This window comes from Homo sapiens, chromosome 19, assembly GCF_000001405.40.
Source record: "Homo sapiens chromosome 19, GRCh38.p14 Primary Assembly".
In the NCBI taxonomy this organism is placed as follows: Eukaryota; Metazoa; Chordata; class Mammalia; order Primates; family Hominidae; genus Homo; species Homo sapiens.
In genome coordinates, this window is record NC_000019.10 from 1,647,715 (window position 1) to 1,661,276 (window position 13,562).

The following is a 13,562-nucleotide window of genomic DNA, read 5'->3' on the forward strand; positions in this document are numbered from 1 at the left end:
TCTATCTGCTTTGTCCCCTAGGACACCAGGGCTGCACCAACGTGCCACAGGTCACATGGGTACCGGGCTGTGTCCTGTGGGCTCTGCAGGCCTCATGAGCAGCCCAGAACAGCCCCCGCACCCCTTGGAGCATCAGTTTCCTCTTCTGAGAAATGGACCGAGGGCTCTGGCTGTGTGGGACGTGGTGAAACCCAAAAGCCCATGGGAGTCTCGCACGCGGCAGGGCCTGGGGAGCTCGCTTCCAACAGCCTCGGTCCTAGGGACTCGCTCCCCCTTCATTCCTGAAGCCCCTGACTCAGGCCCAGGGACTGCCTGGGACCCAGGCAGGGCATGTCAGCCCAGGCCAGTGCTGGCGGGTCCTTCGTTCCCGACCAAAGCTAGCCTGGGTCAGGGCAGGACAAAGGCGCGCTGGGAACAGCCTGGGTTAGCGTTCTCCCTCGTATTTATTTGGAGTTCCCTGTTCTCTCACTTTATACGCATCTGGTCCAGGGAAGTAAGTGCTTCCCCTAGGACCCAGCCTCGGCAGGGGCAGAAGGCAGGCATGCAGGAACAGAGTGGGGATGCGGGCAGTCACAGGGGCTGCCTCTGCCTCCCCGTCCTGGCCAGGGAGGTGGAACTCCACCTCTGGGTAAAGCCCGAGGGGGGACGCCCGGAGAGGACGGGCACCTCGCCGCTCCCAGCCTGTTTCCTCATCTGGGAACGGCTCCGACCCGGGATGGGGAGACGTGCTGAGTGGCTTGAGGTGAGGAGTCAGGTCCTGGGGCTGAACCTGTGCCCCCTCCCCCCAAACGCTGGTCTGTTCCAGCCCAGCGGTCTGTGACTTGTCAGTTTAACAAAAAACAACCCAACTGCACCTCGGGTTACTCAGCCAGGGAAGCAAAAATAAAACGGGGCTTAAAAATACCAGCATGGCCCTTCCGGAGCCTTGGCCCCTCCGGCCCTTGGGCTGTTTTTTTCCGCAGGGTGGCCGGTGTTGTTTCAGTTTGGGGACTTTTGTTTTTGACAGACCTCAGTGGCCTGTGCCTCATAGGCGGGAGGGTTAAATTCAGACTGAAAGTGCCCTCCCCCAACCTGTTTCAACCCCAAACGCTGCCACTGGGCATGGGGGGGGGGGGGGAGCAGAATTTAAGGACATCTGTAGACAGGCCAGAAGAAACAAACCAAGGTCCCTGGGCTTCTCCAGGAACCCATAACACATGGCCCCACTGTACCAGCAGGCAAACCGAGGCCCCGGGCCTTTACAGCACCCGTCAGCGGCCGGTACCCCAGGGGGCTCCGGCATTCCAGCCTCACTGCACCTGCCTGAACTGTGTGACTTCTGAGGACCAGCACCCTCTGAGCCTCCGTTCACCCAGGTGGAGAATGGGCCGTACAGGGACAGATCCAACCACCTAAGACTCTGAAGAAGCCGCCCCGCCCTCCCCACCGGGCCTGCCTGCTCCGCAGTGATAACCGTGGCAGTCACAATGGTGGCGCTGCTGTCTGCTCGGTGGCCCATGAATTCCCACTCAATCCCAATCCAGCCTCCTCCTGGCCCAAGCTCGGCTTCTGGCAGCTTAACTTCAGCACCCACGTGTGACTAATTAACCACACAGTCAGTTTCATGCCCGCATCCTCTGCCCACCAGGGGAGTCCCGTATGGGGCAGGTTGTGTCTGCCCTGTTCACGGAGGGTGGTCCGCTCAGCACTGGGCACCCCCTCCTTTACTTCTTTGAGGAAGGATCTTACTCTATCGCCCAGGAAGGAGTGCAGTGGCGCAATCACAGCTCACTGCAGCCTCAACCTCCAGGGCTCAAGTGATTCTCCTTGCCTCAGCCTCCCAAGTAGCTGGGACCACAGGCATCTACCACCACTCCTAGCTAATTTTTTGAGTTTTGTTTTGTCTTTTTGAGAAATGGGGCCTCACTATGTTTCCTGGGCTGGACTTGGAACTCCTGGCCTCAAGCGATCCTCCCGCCTCAGCCTCCCAAAGTGCTGGAATGACAGGTGGGAACCACTGTGCCCAGCCCCCCTCCCATTTACTGAAACAGGGTCTCCAGGGTCTCACTGTCAACCAGACTGGAGTGCAGTGATCTTTTACTTACTTTTAATTTTTGTATCTACAATGAGGTAAGCGACCCTGATCAGGCCCATTTTACAGATCAGAAGATCAAGGCCGCATTTTGCTTACCCAGCCAAGCTGGGGGCCCAGGACCATGCCCCTGAGGACTCAGTTTCCCCATCTGTAAAGCAGTAGGCTGTAGAATGCTGCGTCCGGGCAAAAGCCCCATAGCACACGTGCTGCCGTGCGCTGTCAGCCTCCTGCCAGAGAGCGGCCCACTCCCCCAGCCCCACCGGGGCCTCCCATCCAAACAGCTGAGGCTCCATCGCTGAAGTATTCAGCAAACACTCTCCCCTGAAAACCTTCCCGTGAACTGTGGAGGCAAAGGGGTGTCGGGGGCTGGGCGGGGGTCCTGGCTCACCATGCTGAAGTCCAGGAGGTCACTGAGCTCCTTGTCTGTGCCCACAGGCGCCATCCTCTGCGGCTGGTTCATTCTCCTGGGGCCAGGGCGGGCACCTCAGGCCTGGAAACCCTGCTTGGTGGATGTGGGGACAGATGGACAGGGAGAAACAGGGAGGGGAGAAGAGTTGTGAGTGGTCAAAGCACAGAGTGCTAAAAGCCACCTAAAAAACCCTCAACCGCCCTGGGGTCTGAGTTCCAGCAGAGCCCTGGGGGCACGGGGAGCCCTGGGAGCAGGCGCAGGGAAGCTGGAATTCCAGAGTCTAGGTCCCTGCAGAGTCCTCCCCAGAGACCACAGGGAGTCTGAAAAATGGGGGGAGGGTGTGCAAATATAAACTCCCTAACTCCCCCAGGGAACACCAGGGCATCAAGTTGCCAAGTTTAAACTGCACGCAGGGCAGCCAGAACCTCTCCTTTCTCCAACTCTCTCATTTCCAACCAACCCCGGGCTTCCTCTGAGGCCCCCTACCCCCGGGAAAGGGAGGAACAGCCCGATCCTACCCCGCCCCGAGGGAAATTTGGTGATTCCCCCCTCCCCCAGCAGATGGCACAGCCCGTTGAAGACCAGGTCGCCCCCAAATTCAACATGAAGGAAATCCACAAGTCAGAAAACCACGAAACTCTTTTACAAGCTTCAAGACTTAAAGTGCCGGGGGTGGGGGGGACGCGCATCCTATGCAGGGACCAGCAAAGCTTTCCTCCACCCTCAATCTCCCTCCCCCCAAGAAAACCCCAACAGTATTCAGGAAAGAAAAAAAAAACAGCCCTAGATTGCTTTACTGTCGCGATGTATCCGGGAATTATTTTTAAGCAAAACTTTGACAACATCCCTTGCCTGCCCTCCATGAGCGGGGAGAGCGTCTCAAGACCAGGGTGCTCCCGCGTGGTCCCAGGGGGCTCCATTCTAAGATGGGGGATGGGGGATCCACCTGCCAAGACCCATTCCACCCCCAGAAAAAGGTACAGAGAAAAATTTCCATTCCAAAGAAATGCACTCCAGGCCCCTCCAGTCTCGACTTTCCCCAGGGGTCCCCAGGTGGGGACGGGGGCAGCCCGGGAGACACCTCCGAGGCTGGGGGTGGGGAGGAGCCTCCGAGGTCGAGGGAGACCCAACTTCAGAAGCAGAGAAATCCCCTCTTTGTCTGCCAACTGGAGGCCGGGTGTGAAGCGGGCGCCCCAGCGCAGCCCCTCCCCCGCTCAGTTTTTTTCTTTTTTGGAGGGCGTGTGAAACTGACTTTTTTTGAGGACTACGAAACCGCACTTTTTTGTGGGGTAGCTGAAACCGATTTTAAGACAGACTTAGTTGGGGGGGTGGCGAGCTAAAACGGGCATTCTACGGGAGCTGGAAGACTTCTGGGGCGTCCCAAGGACTTTGAGAGACTTGGAGAATGTTTGAAGCCACTTTGCACGGCGCCGAAGGCGGGGGGCGCGCTGGAACGCCTTTTTCCCGGGGGGAGGCGGCCCGGGAAGCCGGACCCCCCTCCCCCCGCAGCCGGTGCAGGCGGTGCGGCCCGGGAGCCTTTGAAGCTCGCAGCGCGGCCGCCGCCTCGCCCCGCATTAACGCGGAGCAGATGTTACCCGCGCGCCCCCCCCCGGCCCGCCCGGCCCCGACCAGCGCCTGCAGCGCGCGGCACCTTCCCCGCGCAGACAAAAGGACGTCCCTCCCGCGCGCTCCCCACCCCAAACTCCGGCGCCCGGGCCGGGCCCCCCTCTACCCGAGAAAGGGGGCGCCCCGGGGTCCCCGTGCGCCCGGGCTGGGGGGGACGGTCCTCGCGCCTAAGTTGCACAGCCCGTCCGGCGCCCCCCGCGCCCCCGCCCGGGGCTGCTTAAAGTTTCCCGAAGTGCCCGGCCCGACGGGGGCGACGCGGGCCTGGCGAGCTCCGGGCTCCTCCACGTCGCCGCCCCCCCGGCGCCGCGCGAAGTTGGAGAACAATGACTCCCGGGCCGCGGGGCGCCCCCCGACACCGCCCCCGCCCCAACTTCCTCCGCGCCCCCCCCCAACAAGCGCGCGCGGGGCGGGCCGGGGTTCCCTGGGCACAAAGCACGGGGGTACCGGGCGCGCCCCCCGCCCCCCGCCGGGCTCACCTGCTGGGCGCGGCCGGGCACGCGGCGCGTGGGGGGGGGCGGCGGCATGAAGCGGGGGGGCCCCCCCCCGGACAAAGGTGCGTCGCGGCCGGGCCCCCGAGGGTCGCGCGTGGGCGGCGGCGGCGGCGCGCGTGGCCCGGGCCCCTCCCACCCCCGCGTGGCCCGTCCCGCGGGGCCCGTGCGCGCGGCCGGCCGGGGCGCCCCTGGGGCAGCGGCGTGCGCGGTGCCCGCGGTGCCCGCCGCCGCGTCGGCTCCGGCCCGCTACGCCCGCAGCCGCCGCCGCTGCCTCATCTTCCTGCGGCGGGAGACATGTTCCGCCCCCCGCCCGCGCCGCCCCGCCCCGCCCCGTGCAGGCCCCGCCCCTGCCCCGCCCCCGAGTGCCCCGCCCGGCGGCCCACGCGGATCCCTCCGCCACCTCCGGGCGGCTCGGGCCCGAACGCCCTAGCTCGGCCTCTCGAGCACCCTCGTGAGGACCCCGAATCCCGTGAGGTCCAGAGCCTGGGAGCGGGGACGCGCAGAGGAGGCGGTCGGGCCACGGCGCGGGGAGAAATCACGGACTATCCCCGTCCGCGGAAGCACACACGAGCTGTGCGCTTAGTCCATGACGCAAGCGAGTAAGGCCCGTGAGATTGAAAGCTAAGGCAGAGCAGTCTGGTCAATCGGAAGCCGCGAAAGTCTGATGGGCGGGGATCCTAGCCATTCGTGGTGAGGCCCCGCCTCCTTTCTTCTCGGCCCCGCCCCTCAGCAGAGGCGGGACTCTGCGAGCGAGAGGCCGCGAGAGGCGGCCGGGGTGGGTCCTGGAGTTTTGTTCTCAGGTTGGCGTGGCCGCCCGCGCGGAGCCTTCTGCTTGGTTATATTTGCGTTCCTCGGGCCGGCCCCGCGTGCTGAGTGGTGCGAGCGGGTATCACGGCCCCGAGGGGGCTACGTCAGACCCATTTTCCCGGCGGGAAAACCGACTCTGGCTCCGGCTCTGGGTCAGAGAGCCCCGCGGGGAGTCTCAGCGGTGCCTTTGCCGACTTGAGTCTCCGTCTCGGCATCTGTGAATTTGGACCTGACTTTGGACAGAACTCAGGCCAGATCTGGCTTCCTGATTCTTAGTAGTCCGTGTCTACATTTTAGTAAAAAGTGACCCCGCCTAGGATCGGGCGCCGTGGCTCCTGCCTGTGATCCCAGCGCTTTGAAGGAGGCCGAGGCGGGAAGATCGCTTGAGGCCAGGAGTTCGAGAACAGCCTGAACAACATAGTGAAACCCCCCCCACCCACACCCGTCTCTAAAAATATTTAAAATAATTTAAAATAATAATTTAAAAAGTTGACCGGACGCGGTGGCCCACGCTTGTATTCCCAGCACTTTGGGAGGCCAAGGCGGGCAGATCACCTGAAGTCAGGAGTTCGAGACCTCTCTGGCCAACACGGTGAAACCCCATCTCTACTAAAAATACAAAAATTAGCCGGGCATGGTGGCGGGCACCTGTAGTCCTAGCTACTCGGGAGGCTGAGGCAGCAGAATCGCTTTCACCCGAAAGGCGGAGGTTGCAATGAGCCGAGAGCACGCCATTGTACTCCAGCCTGGGCAACAAGGACGAAACTCCGTCTCAAAATAAATAAATAAATAAGTAAAATAAAATAAAAATACAAAAATTAGCTGGGCGTGGTGGCATACACCTATAATCTCAGCTACTCGGGAAGCTGAGGCAGGAGAATCGCTTAAACCCAGGAGGCAGAGGTTGCAGTGAGCAGAGATCGCAGCACTGCACTCCAGGCTGGGCGACAGAACGAGGCTCCGTCTCAAAAAAAAAAGTAAAATAACTAAACAAATAAATGAAAATAACACAATCTCCCAGGGCTCCCTGGGGCCCCAAAGGGAAATTTACACTCCACTCCCAGCCTGGGAAGATGCCACCATCTCGCTGGCCCGCTTGGCTCCAGCCATCCTGCCCTCTGGATGGTCCAGAACTTGCTAAGCTCATCCCCACCCCGGGCCTCTACGTTTGCTTTGTCCTCTACCTGGGAGGCTTTTCCCACCCCTATCTGGAGCCCCTGAGTCATCACAGTTCAATGCTGCACCTATGCCAGGCCGGCGGGGAGGCGGGGCCACAGGGGCCCCCCACCAAAGCCACAAGCCCCTCCTGCTATACACCCAAACTGGGCTGTCCACAGTCCGACCCTCCGTGCCCAGAGAGTTCCACGTGCCGCAGGTCTGGGGAGAGGGCTGTGGGTCCCAGGGTCTGTGCTGCAAATCCCTCATCCCTCTCCACCTCACTGTGACCTCAGGCAAGTTCGTGCTACTCTCCGGGCCTCGGTTTCTCCATCTGGACAGTGGAAGGGGGGAGTCTGGCACACAGTAGGTGCTCACAGCTGATGCCTGCCTTCCTCAGCCGCCCCCCACCCCCGCAGAGGCCTCTCCGGAGCCAGGGTCTCCAAGCAGCTCCAATCCCACCCCAGCCTCCTCAGCCCCCGGCCCTTCCTTGTGGCCCAGCCCTGACCCCATGGGTCTGAGGGTGTCTGTGGCCGGGTCTGGCTCTCCCCATTCCAGTGTAGGGAGCTCACTGTGGGCCACTCCCCACCCACACTCAGGGTCCAAGCCATAGTGTGGCAGCCGGAGTCCTCCCGAGGAGCCCTTCAGTTTCACCCACGGAAGGGAAGCAACCATCCAATCACGGACTTCTTCTTCTTCTTCTTCTTCTTCTTCTTCTTCTTATTATTATTATTATTATTTTGAGAAAGAGTCTCGCTCTGTTGCCCAGGCTGGAGTGCAGTGGTGAGATCACAGCTCACTGCAGCCTTGACCTCCTGGGCTCAAACGATCCTCCCGCCTCAGTTTCCCGAGTAGCTGGGACCACAGGCACGCGCCACCACACCCAGCTAATTTTGTATTTTTTGTAGAGACGGGGTTCTCCCTATGTTGCCCAGGCTGGTCTTGAACTCCTAGGCACAAGTGATCCTCCCGCCTTGGCTTCCCAGAGTGCTGGGATTACAGGCGTGTGCCACTGCGCCGTACAAGACTATTCAATTATCGGGCACTGACAGCGAACGGGGCCTTGTGCCGCGCATCGTAGCACTGTGGACAGTGATGGACTCAGTCCCTGCTGTCCCGGCAGGATGACCCATGAGGGACCCCTTGTCTAGTCCTGAATGTGGCTCTTTCCTGTGAGGTCCTCCTGCCTGTGTGGTTCCACGTATCGTACAGATGAGGAAACTGAGACTAGGGGTCTCCTCCCTGGGCCCCAGGGCACCCTGGGGCTCGCGCCTGCCAGGAGGTTCCGCTGGTAACCACAAGCCACCATTGTTTTCCCCAAGGAGGTCAGTCCTGGGGCTGAGTCACTGGGTGGAGCAGCCCGTGGGGGCCCCCCACTTGGCCACCACCTCTGCCCAGCCCCGAGGCCTGGGTGCTCCCTCCAGGGCCCTGGTACGGGGACAGGCAGCAAGCTATCCTCCTGACTGTGGCCTTTGTTTTGCTCTGGGGCCGGGCAGGAGGAGGAGCAGGGCCTCTGCACCTGCCGCCTGTTCCCTCCACACCTACTGTGTGCGCCCCCGCCAACATGAACCACGTATGTCAGAAAAACTGAGGCCAAGGACAACTTCCCACTAGGGAGACACAGAAGCGAGGGGGGCGAGGGGCGGCGATGGCGAGGTTTCCAGAGACAGACGCAGTAGGTGTGCAGGCCACAGCTGTCCGCAGAGAGACTGGGCTTGGATTAGGACTTCGGGGCCACCCTCCAGATTTCTGTTTCCATTTGTCCCTAAAGTGGGCACCTTTGACTTCTCCCAGGGTATGAACACACTCCCCCAACCCCCAGCGCCCTCCAGCAGGGGCGGAGAAGGGAGTGGCGGCCCAGCACTTATCACCCACGTCAGGCCCTGGGACAAACCTCGCTCCGGCGTCCACTGAGCACGGGCAGCTGGGGCGATCGGTGTCGCCTCCCAAAGTGGGGGCTTCCTGCTCGAGCTCAGACCTCCAGTGAGGGGCCTGATCCCAACACGACCAGATCAGGACCACCCCACAGAGCCCTGGGCTGGGACTCGGCCAGGGTAGGGCCCATTCCCTTATTCTCCACAACTTCGTTTTTATTTTATTTTAGCAGAGATGGGGTGAGGTGGAAGGATCGCTTGAGCCCAGGAGTTTGAGACCAGACTGGACAACACAGCAAGACCCCATCTCTTAAAAAAAAATTTTTTTTTTTAGATGAAATCTCACTCTGTCGTCCAGGCTGGAGGGCAGTGGTGCCAGCTCAGCTCACTACAACCTCCACCTCCTGGGGTCAAGCGATTCTCCTGCCTCAGCCTCCTGAGTAGCTGGGATTATAGGTGCCCACTGCCACGCCTGGCTAATTTTTGTATTTTTTTATAGAGACGGGGTTTCACCCTGTCGCCCAGGCTGGTCTAGAACTCCTGGCCTCAAGCGATCTTCCTGCCTTGGCCTACCCAAAGTGATGGGCTTACCAGCATGAGCCACCACACCCGGCCCCATTCTTCCTGCCTTCTGGGAGGAGGCGTCTCCAGGCTTGCTGGTTGGACCTGGGCAGGGAAGCCTCCTGAGATTGGGAGTGCTAGGGGCTTATGATTGTTCTCCCCTAGCGGAGGGAGGAGATTCTGGTGTGAAATGGAGCAGTGGGGACACACTCCAGTTCCTGGGGTCTGATCACAAGGGTTCCTGACTCCTCGGGCACTTCCAGCTATGAGGACACCAAGGAAGGGAAGAGGCTTGTCGGTGATCAGACCCCTACCCCTCCACCCAGACTTATGGGAGCCAGAGGGCCAGGAGAGCTGGGCAGGAGGCTCTGAGGTTGACGGGAATGGGAACACAGCCTCACACCTCCTGCTGTAGGGCATTCAGGGGAAGAAGGACCATCTCCCACAGGGAGTGGGTCCCCTGGGGCAGTGACTCTTGGGCTATGACCTCAAGATGCATGCGGTCGACAGGCAGAGAGCGGATACCATGCCAGGCAGGGGAAGCTGAGGGACAAAGGTACTGAGGTGGGAGGGGGTGTGGGGTGTTCAAGGAACGGGGCCTGTGAGGCTGGAGCCCAGAGAAGACCAGAGAAGAGGAGCCAAGATCAGAGAGAGGGGCAGGGCCTCCTATGCCACAGGGAGGAATTGGGTCTTCATGGTGAGAGGACTAGGGAACCATGGTGGGAGTTTGAGCAAGAGACGGACGTGATCACAGGGACCATGAGTTGGGGTGGATCTGGGGTACATTTGGAGGATAACTGAGGGCTCTCCCAGGGGGTGGGTATGAGGGGTTAGCAGCCTGCCTACTAGGTGTGGGGTTAGGGACCTGGGCCTGTGAATGGTGGTATCGTTCTCTGAGTGGGGCCAGCGTGGGTCAAGGGAGAGGCGTGAAGGGGGAACAGGAGGCTCATGTCCCAGGGTGGTGTCCAGGCCCCATGAGACAAGGCGGGTCATGGCCAGGAGGGGCTGCGTGAGAGGGGGCACCAGTGAAGAAGGCACAGTCCCCAGTCGGGGGGAGCCCAGCTCTGGATGCAGCCTGGCCTCCCCGAGCCCTCCTTCTGTCCGAGCCCCCCACGCAGCCCCTCTGCACCTGCCGGGTGCCCGTCCACCCCAGGGCCAGGGCCAACTGCCGAGGATGGTCCCACCCCCTCTTGGCCAGGCGCCCACAGCTCCTGACTCAGGGGCCCCCGGGGGCCTGTCCTGCCACATTCCGGGGCCGCCCGTGCAAACACAGGGCGCCTGCCCATCACCCCCCATGGGGCATTGTTTGGCCCAGTTACCCCGAGGCGGGGGCAGGGCAGGGGACAGGGAGCCCAGCCAGATTCTCAGTTCCCGCCACCCATGCACCTGCCCACAGGCAGCCCTGCTGACCTGCACCCGCCTTGACATGGGGGGACGGCGCCTCTGCAGTGTACCCTGGGCACAATGGGGGCATCTCCCTTCTTCCCGGGGGTCTTCACCTCCCCTGAACTTTGCTCAAGGCACAGAGGACGTCATCCCATTGTTCAGATGGGGAAACCGAGGCAGGACTCAAGTGGCCTCATGCCTGAAGCTGAGCCAGGCTCCCATCCCCGGCCCACCTGTCCTGTCCCCCACCGACCCCACCTCACCCCGCCAGGCTCCTTCACCTGCACCTGGTGCCTTCCAGAAACGGGGGAGGCCACTCCAGGCTGTCAGCCCTCTGGCACAAAGGCTGGGAGGTCAGAAGCCATCCAGGGACGCCTTGCCACGCTAAGAAGGTTGGGTTTCATTCGCGGGTTTGGAGGAGCCGAGGGGGCCACGTGGTCTCACTGGGGGTTGGGAAGGGCATCTGGGAGACCGAGGTGGAGGCCGGTGACGTGGCTGTGGAGTGGGATGCCCAAGGCAACAGGAGGGGTGGAAAGAGATGCCTGTTAGACGGGAAACTGGGGGGGCGCCCCTGGGGAAAGACGACAAGGATCCTAGGAGGGCGGGGAGCACAGGTGCCCCCAACCCCAAGGGGTGAGAACTAGACTCAGGAGGAGACTCAGGGCTTGGGGGCTGCAGGGATGGCTGCCTGGAGCTGAGCCTGCAAAGCTGGAACAGGGAGGAAGGGTAACTGAGCAGAGGGAACAGCAGAGGCAAAAGCTACGAGACGAGGAAATGCAAGTTGTTCCCTGGGTTTGGGCCGAGGGCCAGGGGGCGGGGGCGGGTGGCACTGATGGATGTGCCACCCACCCCCATCCGGGCCATCCTGTCTGGATCCGGGACCCTGCCCTCGCCCCTCCCTCCCTCCGTCAGACCGGCCCTGCACTCCACAGACATTGTATGTCTTGCTGCTGCCCAGAGCCCGAAAGTCCCTGCCCACCTCCCCGTCTCCGCCACTCCTGGTTGTCCCTCCAAGCGCCTGTTGGTTTCTGGGCCTGTTTCCTGGCTGTGTCCTCTCCTGGAACAACTTTCCTCTCTTTGTACCTGGCTGTCTTCTCTTCCTCATCCTTCCACCCTCAGCTTGGGGGCCACCTCCTCCGGGGAGCCTTCCTTGCTTTGTTTGTTTGTTTGTTTGTTTGTTTGTTTGTTTGTTTGTTTCCAGAGACAGAGTTTCGCTCTTGTTGCCCAGGCTGGAGTGCAATGGTGCCATCTTGGCTCACTGCAATCTTTGCCCCCTGGGTTCAAGCAATTTTCCTGCCTCAGTCTCCTGAGAAGCTGGAATTACAGGTGCCTGCCACCACGCCCAGCTAATTTTTTGTGTTTTTATTAGAGACGGGGTTTCACCATGTTGGCCAGGCTGGTCTTGAACTTCTCTGACCTCAGGTGATCCACCCCCCTTGGCCTCCCAAAGTTCTGGGATTCCAGGTGTGGGCCACTGTGCCCGGCCTTGGTCGGCAGTTTTCTAACAGCTGGGGGTGGCTGCGTGTGAGACAGGAGAGGGTGAGCAGGAGGTGCTGGGATCAGAAGAGGCTCAGCAAAGGTTGGCCCCACACCCAGCCCCCTTGTCCTTTTCAGGCATAGAGAAGATACAAAATCCAGAACCATGCAAGGAGAAAATTCTTCAAATTTGACCACACAGGCCAGACACGGCAGCTCATGTCTGTATTCCCAGCACTTTGGGAGGCCAAGGCGGCGGGATCACTTGAGGCCAGGAGGTTGAGGCCAACCTTGGCAACATAGCGAGACCACCATCTCTACAAAAAAAATACAAAAATTAGGCCGGGCCTGGTGGCATGTGCCTGTAGTCCCGGCTACTCTGGAGGCTGAGGCAGGAGGATCACCTGAGTCTGGGGAGGTTGAGGCTGCATTGAGCCATGGTTGTGTGACTGCACTCCAGCCTGGGCAACAGAACGAGACTCAGACTCAAAAAAAAAAATGTTTTTTAGGCTGGGTATGATGGCTCACGCCTGTTATCCTAGCGCTTTGGGAGGCCGAGGTGGGCAGATCACTTGAGATCAGGAGTTCGAGATCAGCCTGGCCAACATGATGAAATCCACTCTGTACTAAAAATACAAAAATTAGCCGAGCACAGAGGCAGGCGCCTGTAATCCGAGCTACTTGGAGGCTGAGGCAGGAGAATTACTTGAACCTGGAAGGAAGAGGTTGCAGTGAGCCGAGATCATGCCACTGCATTCCAGCCTGGGACACAAGAATGAGACTCTGACTCAAAAAAAAAAAAAAAAAAGTTTTTCGACTACATAAAAATTAAACACTTTTGTGTGGTCACAGACTCACAATGAAGTTAGATGAGATGAGAAAGCTAGGGAGAAACTATTTGCAACATCATAACAGACAAAGGGTTTGGGCTCTTCGTATACAAAGAGTTCCAACAAATCAATAAGGAAAAAACTCAAAAAAAAAAAGAAACCATGCAAAGAAATGAGTGATTAATTCATACAGGAAAAAATTAAAATGGCCACTGGATACACAGACGAATAAAAAACCTAAAGTCACTCTTGGTGAAAAAGATACAAATGGGCCGGGCGCGGTGGCTCATGCCTGTATAATCCTCGCACTTTGGGAGGCTGAGGCGGGCAGATCACGAGGTCAGGAGATCGAGACCATCCTGTCTGATATGGTGAATCCCCATCTCTACTAAAAATACAAAAAATCAGCCAGGCGTGGTGGCGGGCACCTGTAGTCCCAGCTACTCGGGAGGCTGAGGCAGGAGAATGGCGTGAACCCGGGAGGCGGAGCTTGCAGTGAGCCGAGATGGCGCCACTGCACTCCAGCCTGGGTGACAGAGCAAGACTCTGTCTCAAAAAAAAAAAAAAAAAACCAAACTAATAAATCTAATAAAAATGGTGGCATGACCACTGCTCACCCATGCCAAGGCCGTTTTTTAAAAACAAGACAAAACGTGACGGCATGAGCAGGGCTGTGCATTAGAACGTGGTTTGTGGCACAGAACACTTGATTTGAAAACTGCCCAAGTGTCCAACAACAAGGGCTGTAGAAGAAGATTCTGTCATGGCTGCACTAGGAACCCGACTGTTGACCGTCCAGCAAGTCAGGTTCCCGTGCCTGCTTGGAGCCAAGAGACGCCTGAGGCCGCCTCTCTGGGGGAATGAAATACAAGT

The 13,562-nt window shown here is 59.8% G+C and overlaps 1 protein-coding gene across 50 annotated transcripts in view, besides 13 other annotated features; it reads right to left on the reverse strand.

Annotated features, from left to right (window-relative positions):
- Positions 1-4,901, reverse strand: part of TCF3 (transcription factor 3) — a 43,324-nt gene extending 38,423 nt beyond the window's left edge. For 25 of the 50 annotated variants that reach the window (XM_047439298.1, XM_047439297.1, XM_047439296.1 and 22 more), the window contains exons 1-2: positions 4,586-4,901; positions 2,463-2,573 (exon numbers count right to left, since the gene is read on the reverse strand). In XM_047439298.1, coding sequence (XP_047295254.1) covers positions 2,463-2,534 — 72 coding nt within the window. In that variant the 5' untranslated portion in view covers positions 2,535-2,573; positions 4,586-4,901. Of the gene's footprint in view, positions 1-2,462; positions 4,435-4,585 lie in introns of those variants that run through there. The other 25 variants (XM_047439293.1, XM_047439292.1, XM_047439275.1 and 22 more) reach the window with 2 other exon arrangements.
- Positions 510-779: an enhancer, noted in NCBI's record as "active region_13620". NCBI's record gives its function as "activates an Ori minimal core promoter by ATAC-STARR-seq in GM12878 lymphoblastoid cells {active_cell/tissue: GM12878}" and the evidence as "EXISTENCE:reporter gene assay evidence [ECO:0000049][PMID:35858748]".
- Positions 1,120-1,429: an enhancer, noted in NCBI's record as "active region_13621". NCBI's record gives its function as "activates an Ori minimal core promoter by ATAC-STARR-seq in GM12878 lymphoblastoid cells {active_cell/tissue: GM12878}" and the evidence as "EXISTENCE:reporter gene assay evidence [ECO:0000049][PMID:35858748]".
- Positions 1,442-1,941: an enhancer, noted in NCBI's record as "H3K4me1 hESC enhancer chr19:1649155-1649654 (GRCh37/hg19 assembly coordinates)". NCBI's record gives its function as "activates a minimal SCP1, AML or CMV promoter by ChIP-STARR-seq in naive H9 embryonic stem cells {active_cell/tissue: H9 hESC(naive)}" and the evidence as "EXISTENCE:reporter gene assay evidence [ECO:0000049][PMID:30033119]".
- Positions 3,820-3,939: a silencer, noted in NCBI's record as "silent region_9736". NCBI's record gives its function as "represses an Ori minimal core promoter by ATAC-STARR-seq in GM12878 lymphoblastoid cells {active_cell/tissue: GM12878}" and the evidence as "EXISTENCE:reporter gene assay evidence [ECO:0000049][PMID:35858748]".
- Positions 3,820-4,179: a biological region, named in NCBI's record as "ReSE screen-validated silencer GRCh37_chr19:1651633-1651855".
- Positions 3,920-4,142: a silencer, noted in NCBI's record as "fragment chr19:1651633-1651855 (GRCh37/hg19 assembly coordinates)". NCBI's record gives its function as "represses an EF-1alpha promoter that drives an FKBP-Casp9 reporter gene in an ReSE screen in K562 erythroleukemia cells {active_cell/tissue: K562}" and the evidence as "EXISTENCE:reporter gene assay evidence [ECO:0000049][PMID:32094911]".
- Positions 3,950-4,179: a silencer, noted in NCBI's record as "silent region_9737". NCBI's record gives its function as "represses an Ori minimal core promoter by ATAC-STARR-seq in GM12878 lymphoblastoid cells {active_cell/tissue: GM12878}" and the evidence as "EXISTENCE:reporter gene assay evidence [ECO:0000049][PMID:35858748]".
- Positions 4,270-4,349: a silencer, noted in NCBI's record as "silent region_9738". NCBI's record gives its function as "represses an Ori minimal core promoter by ATAC-STARR-seq in GM12878 lymphoblastoid cells {active_cell/tissue: GM12878}" and the evidence as "EXISTENCE:reporter gene assay evidence [ECO:0000049][PMID:35858748]".
- Positions 4,880-5,009: a silencer, noted in NCBI's record as "silent region_9739". NCBI's record gives its function as "represses an Ori minimal core promoter by ATAC-STARR-seq in GM12878 lymphoblastoid cells {active_cell/tissue: GM12878}" and the evidence as "EXISTENCE:reporter gene assay evidence [ECO:0000049][PMID:35858748]".
- Positions 5,020-5,069: a silencer, noted in NCBI's record as "silent region_9740". NCBI's record gives its function as "represses an Ori minimal core promoter by ATAC-STARR-seq in GM12878 lymphoblastoid cells {active_cell/tissue: GM12878}" and the evidence as "EXISTENCE:reporter gene assay evidence [ECO:0000049][PMID:35858748]".
- Positions 5,360-5,409: an enhancer, noted in NCBI's record as "active region_13622". NCBI's record gives its function as "activates an Ori minimal core promoter by ATAC-STARR-seq in GM12878 lymphoblastoid cells {active_cell/tissue: GM12878}" and the evidence as "EXISTENCE:reporter gene assay evidence [ECO:0000049][PMID:35858748]".
- Positions 5,530-5,639: an enhancer, noted in NCBI's record as "active region_13623". NCBI's record gives its function as "activates an Ori minimal core promoter by ATAC-STARR-seq in GM12878 lymphoblastoid cells {active_cell/tissue: GM12878}" and the evidence as "EXISTENCE:reporter gene assay evidence [ECO:0000049][PMID:35858748]".
- Positions 13,362-13,562: a silencer, noted in NCBI's record as "peak3223 fragment used in MPRA reporter construct". NCBI's record gives its function as "represses an SCP1 promoter by STARR-seq MPRAs in K562 erythroleukemia cells {active_cell/tissue: K562}" and the evidence as "EXISTENCE:reporter gene assay evidence [ECO:0000049][PMID:32103011]".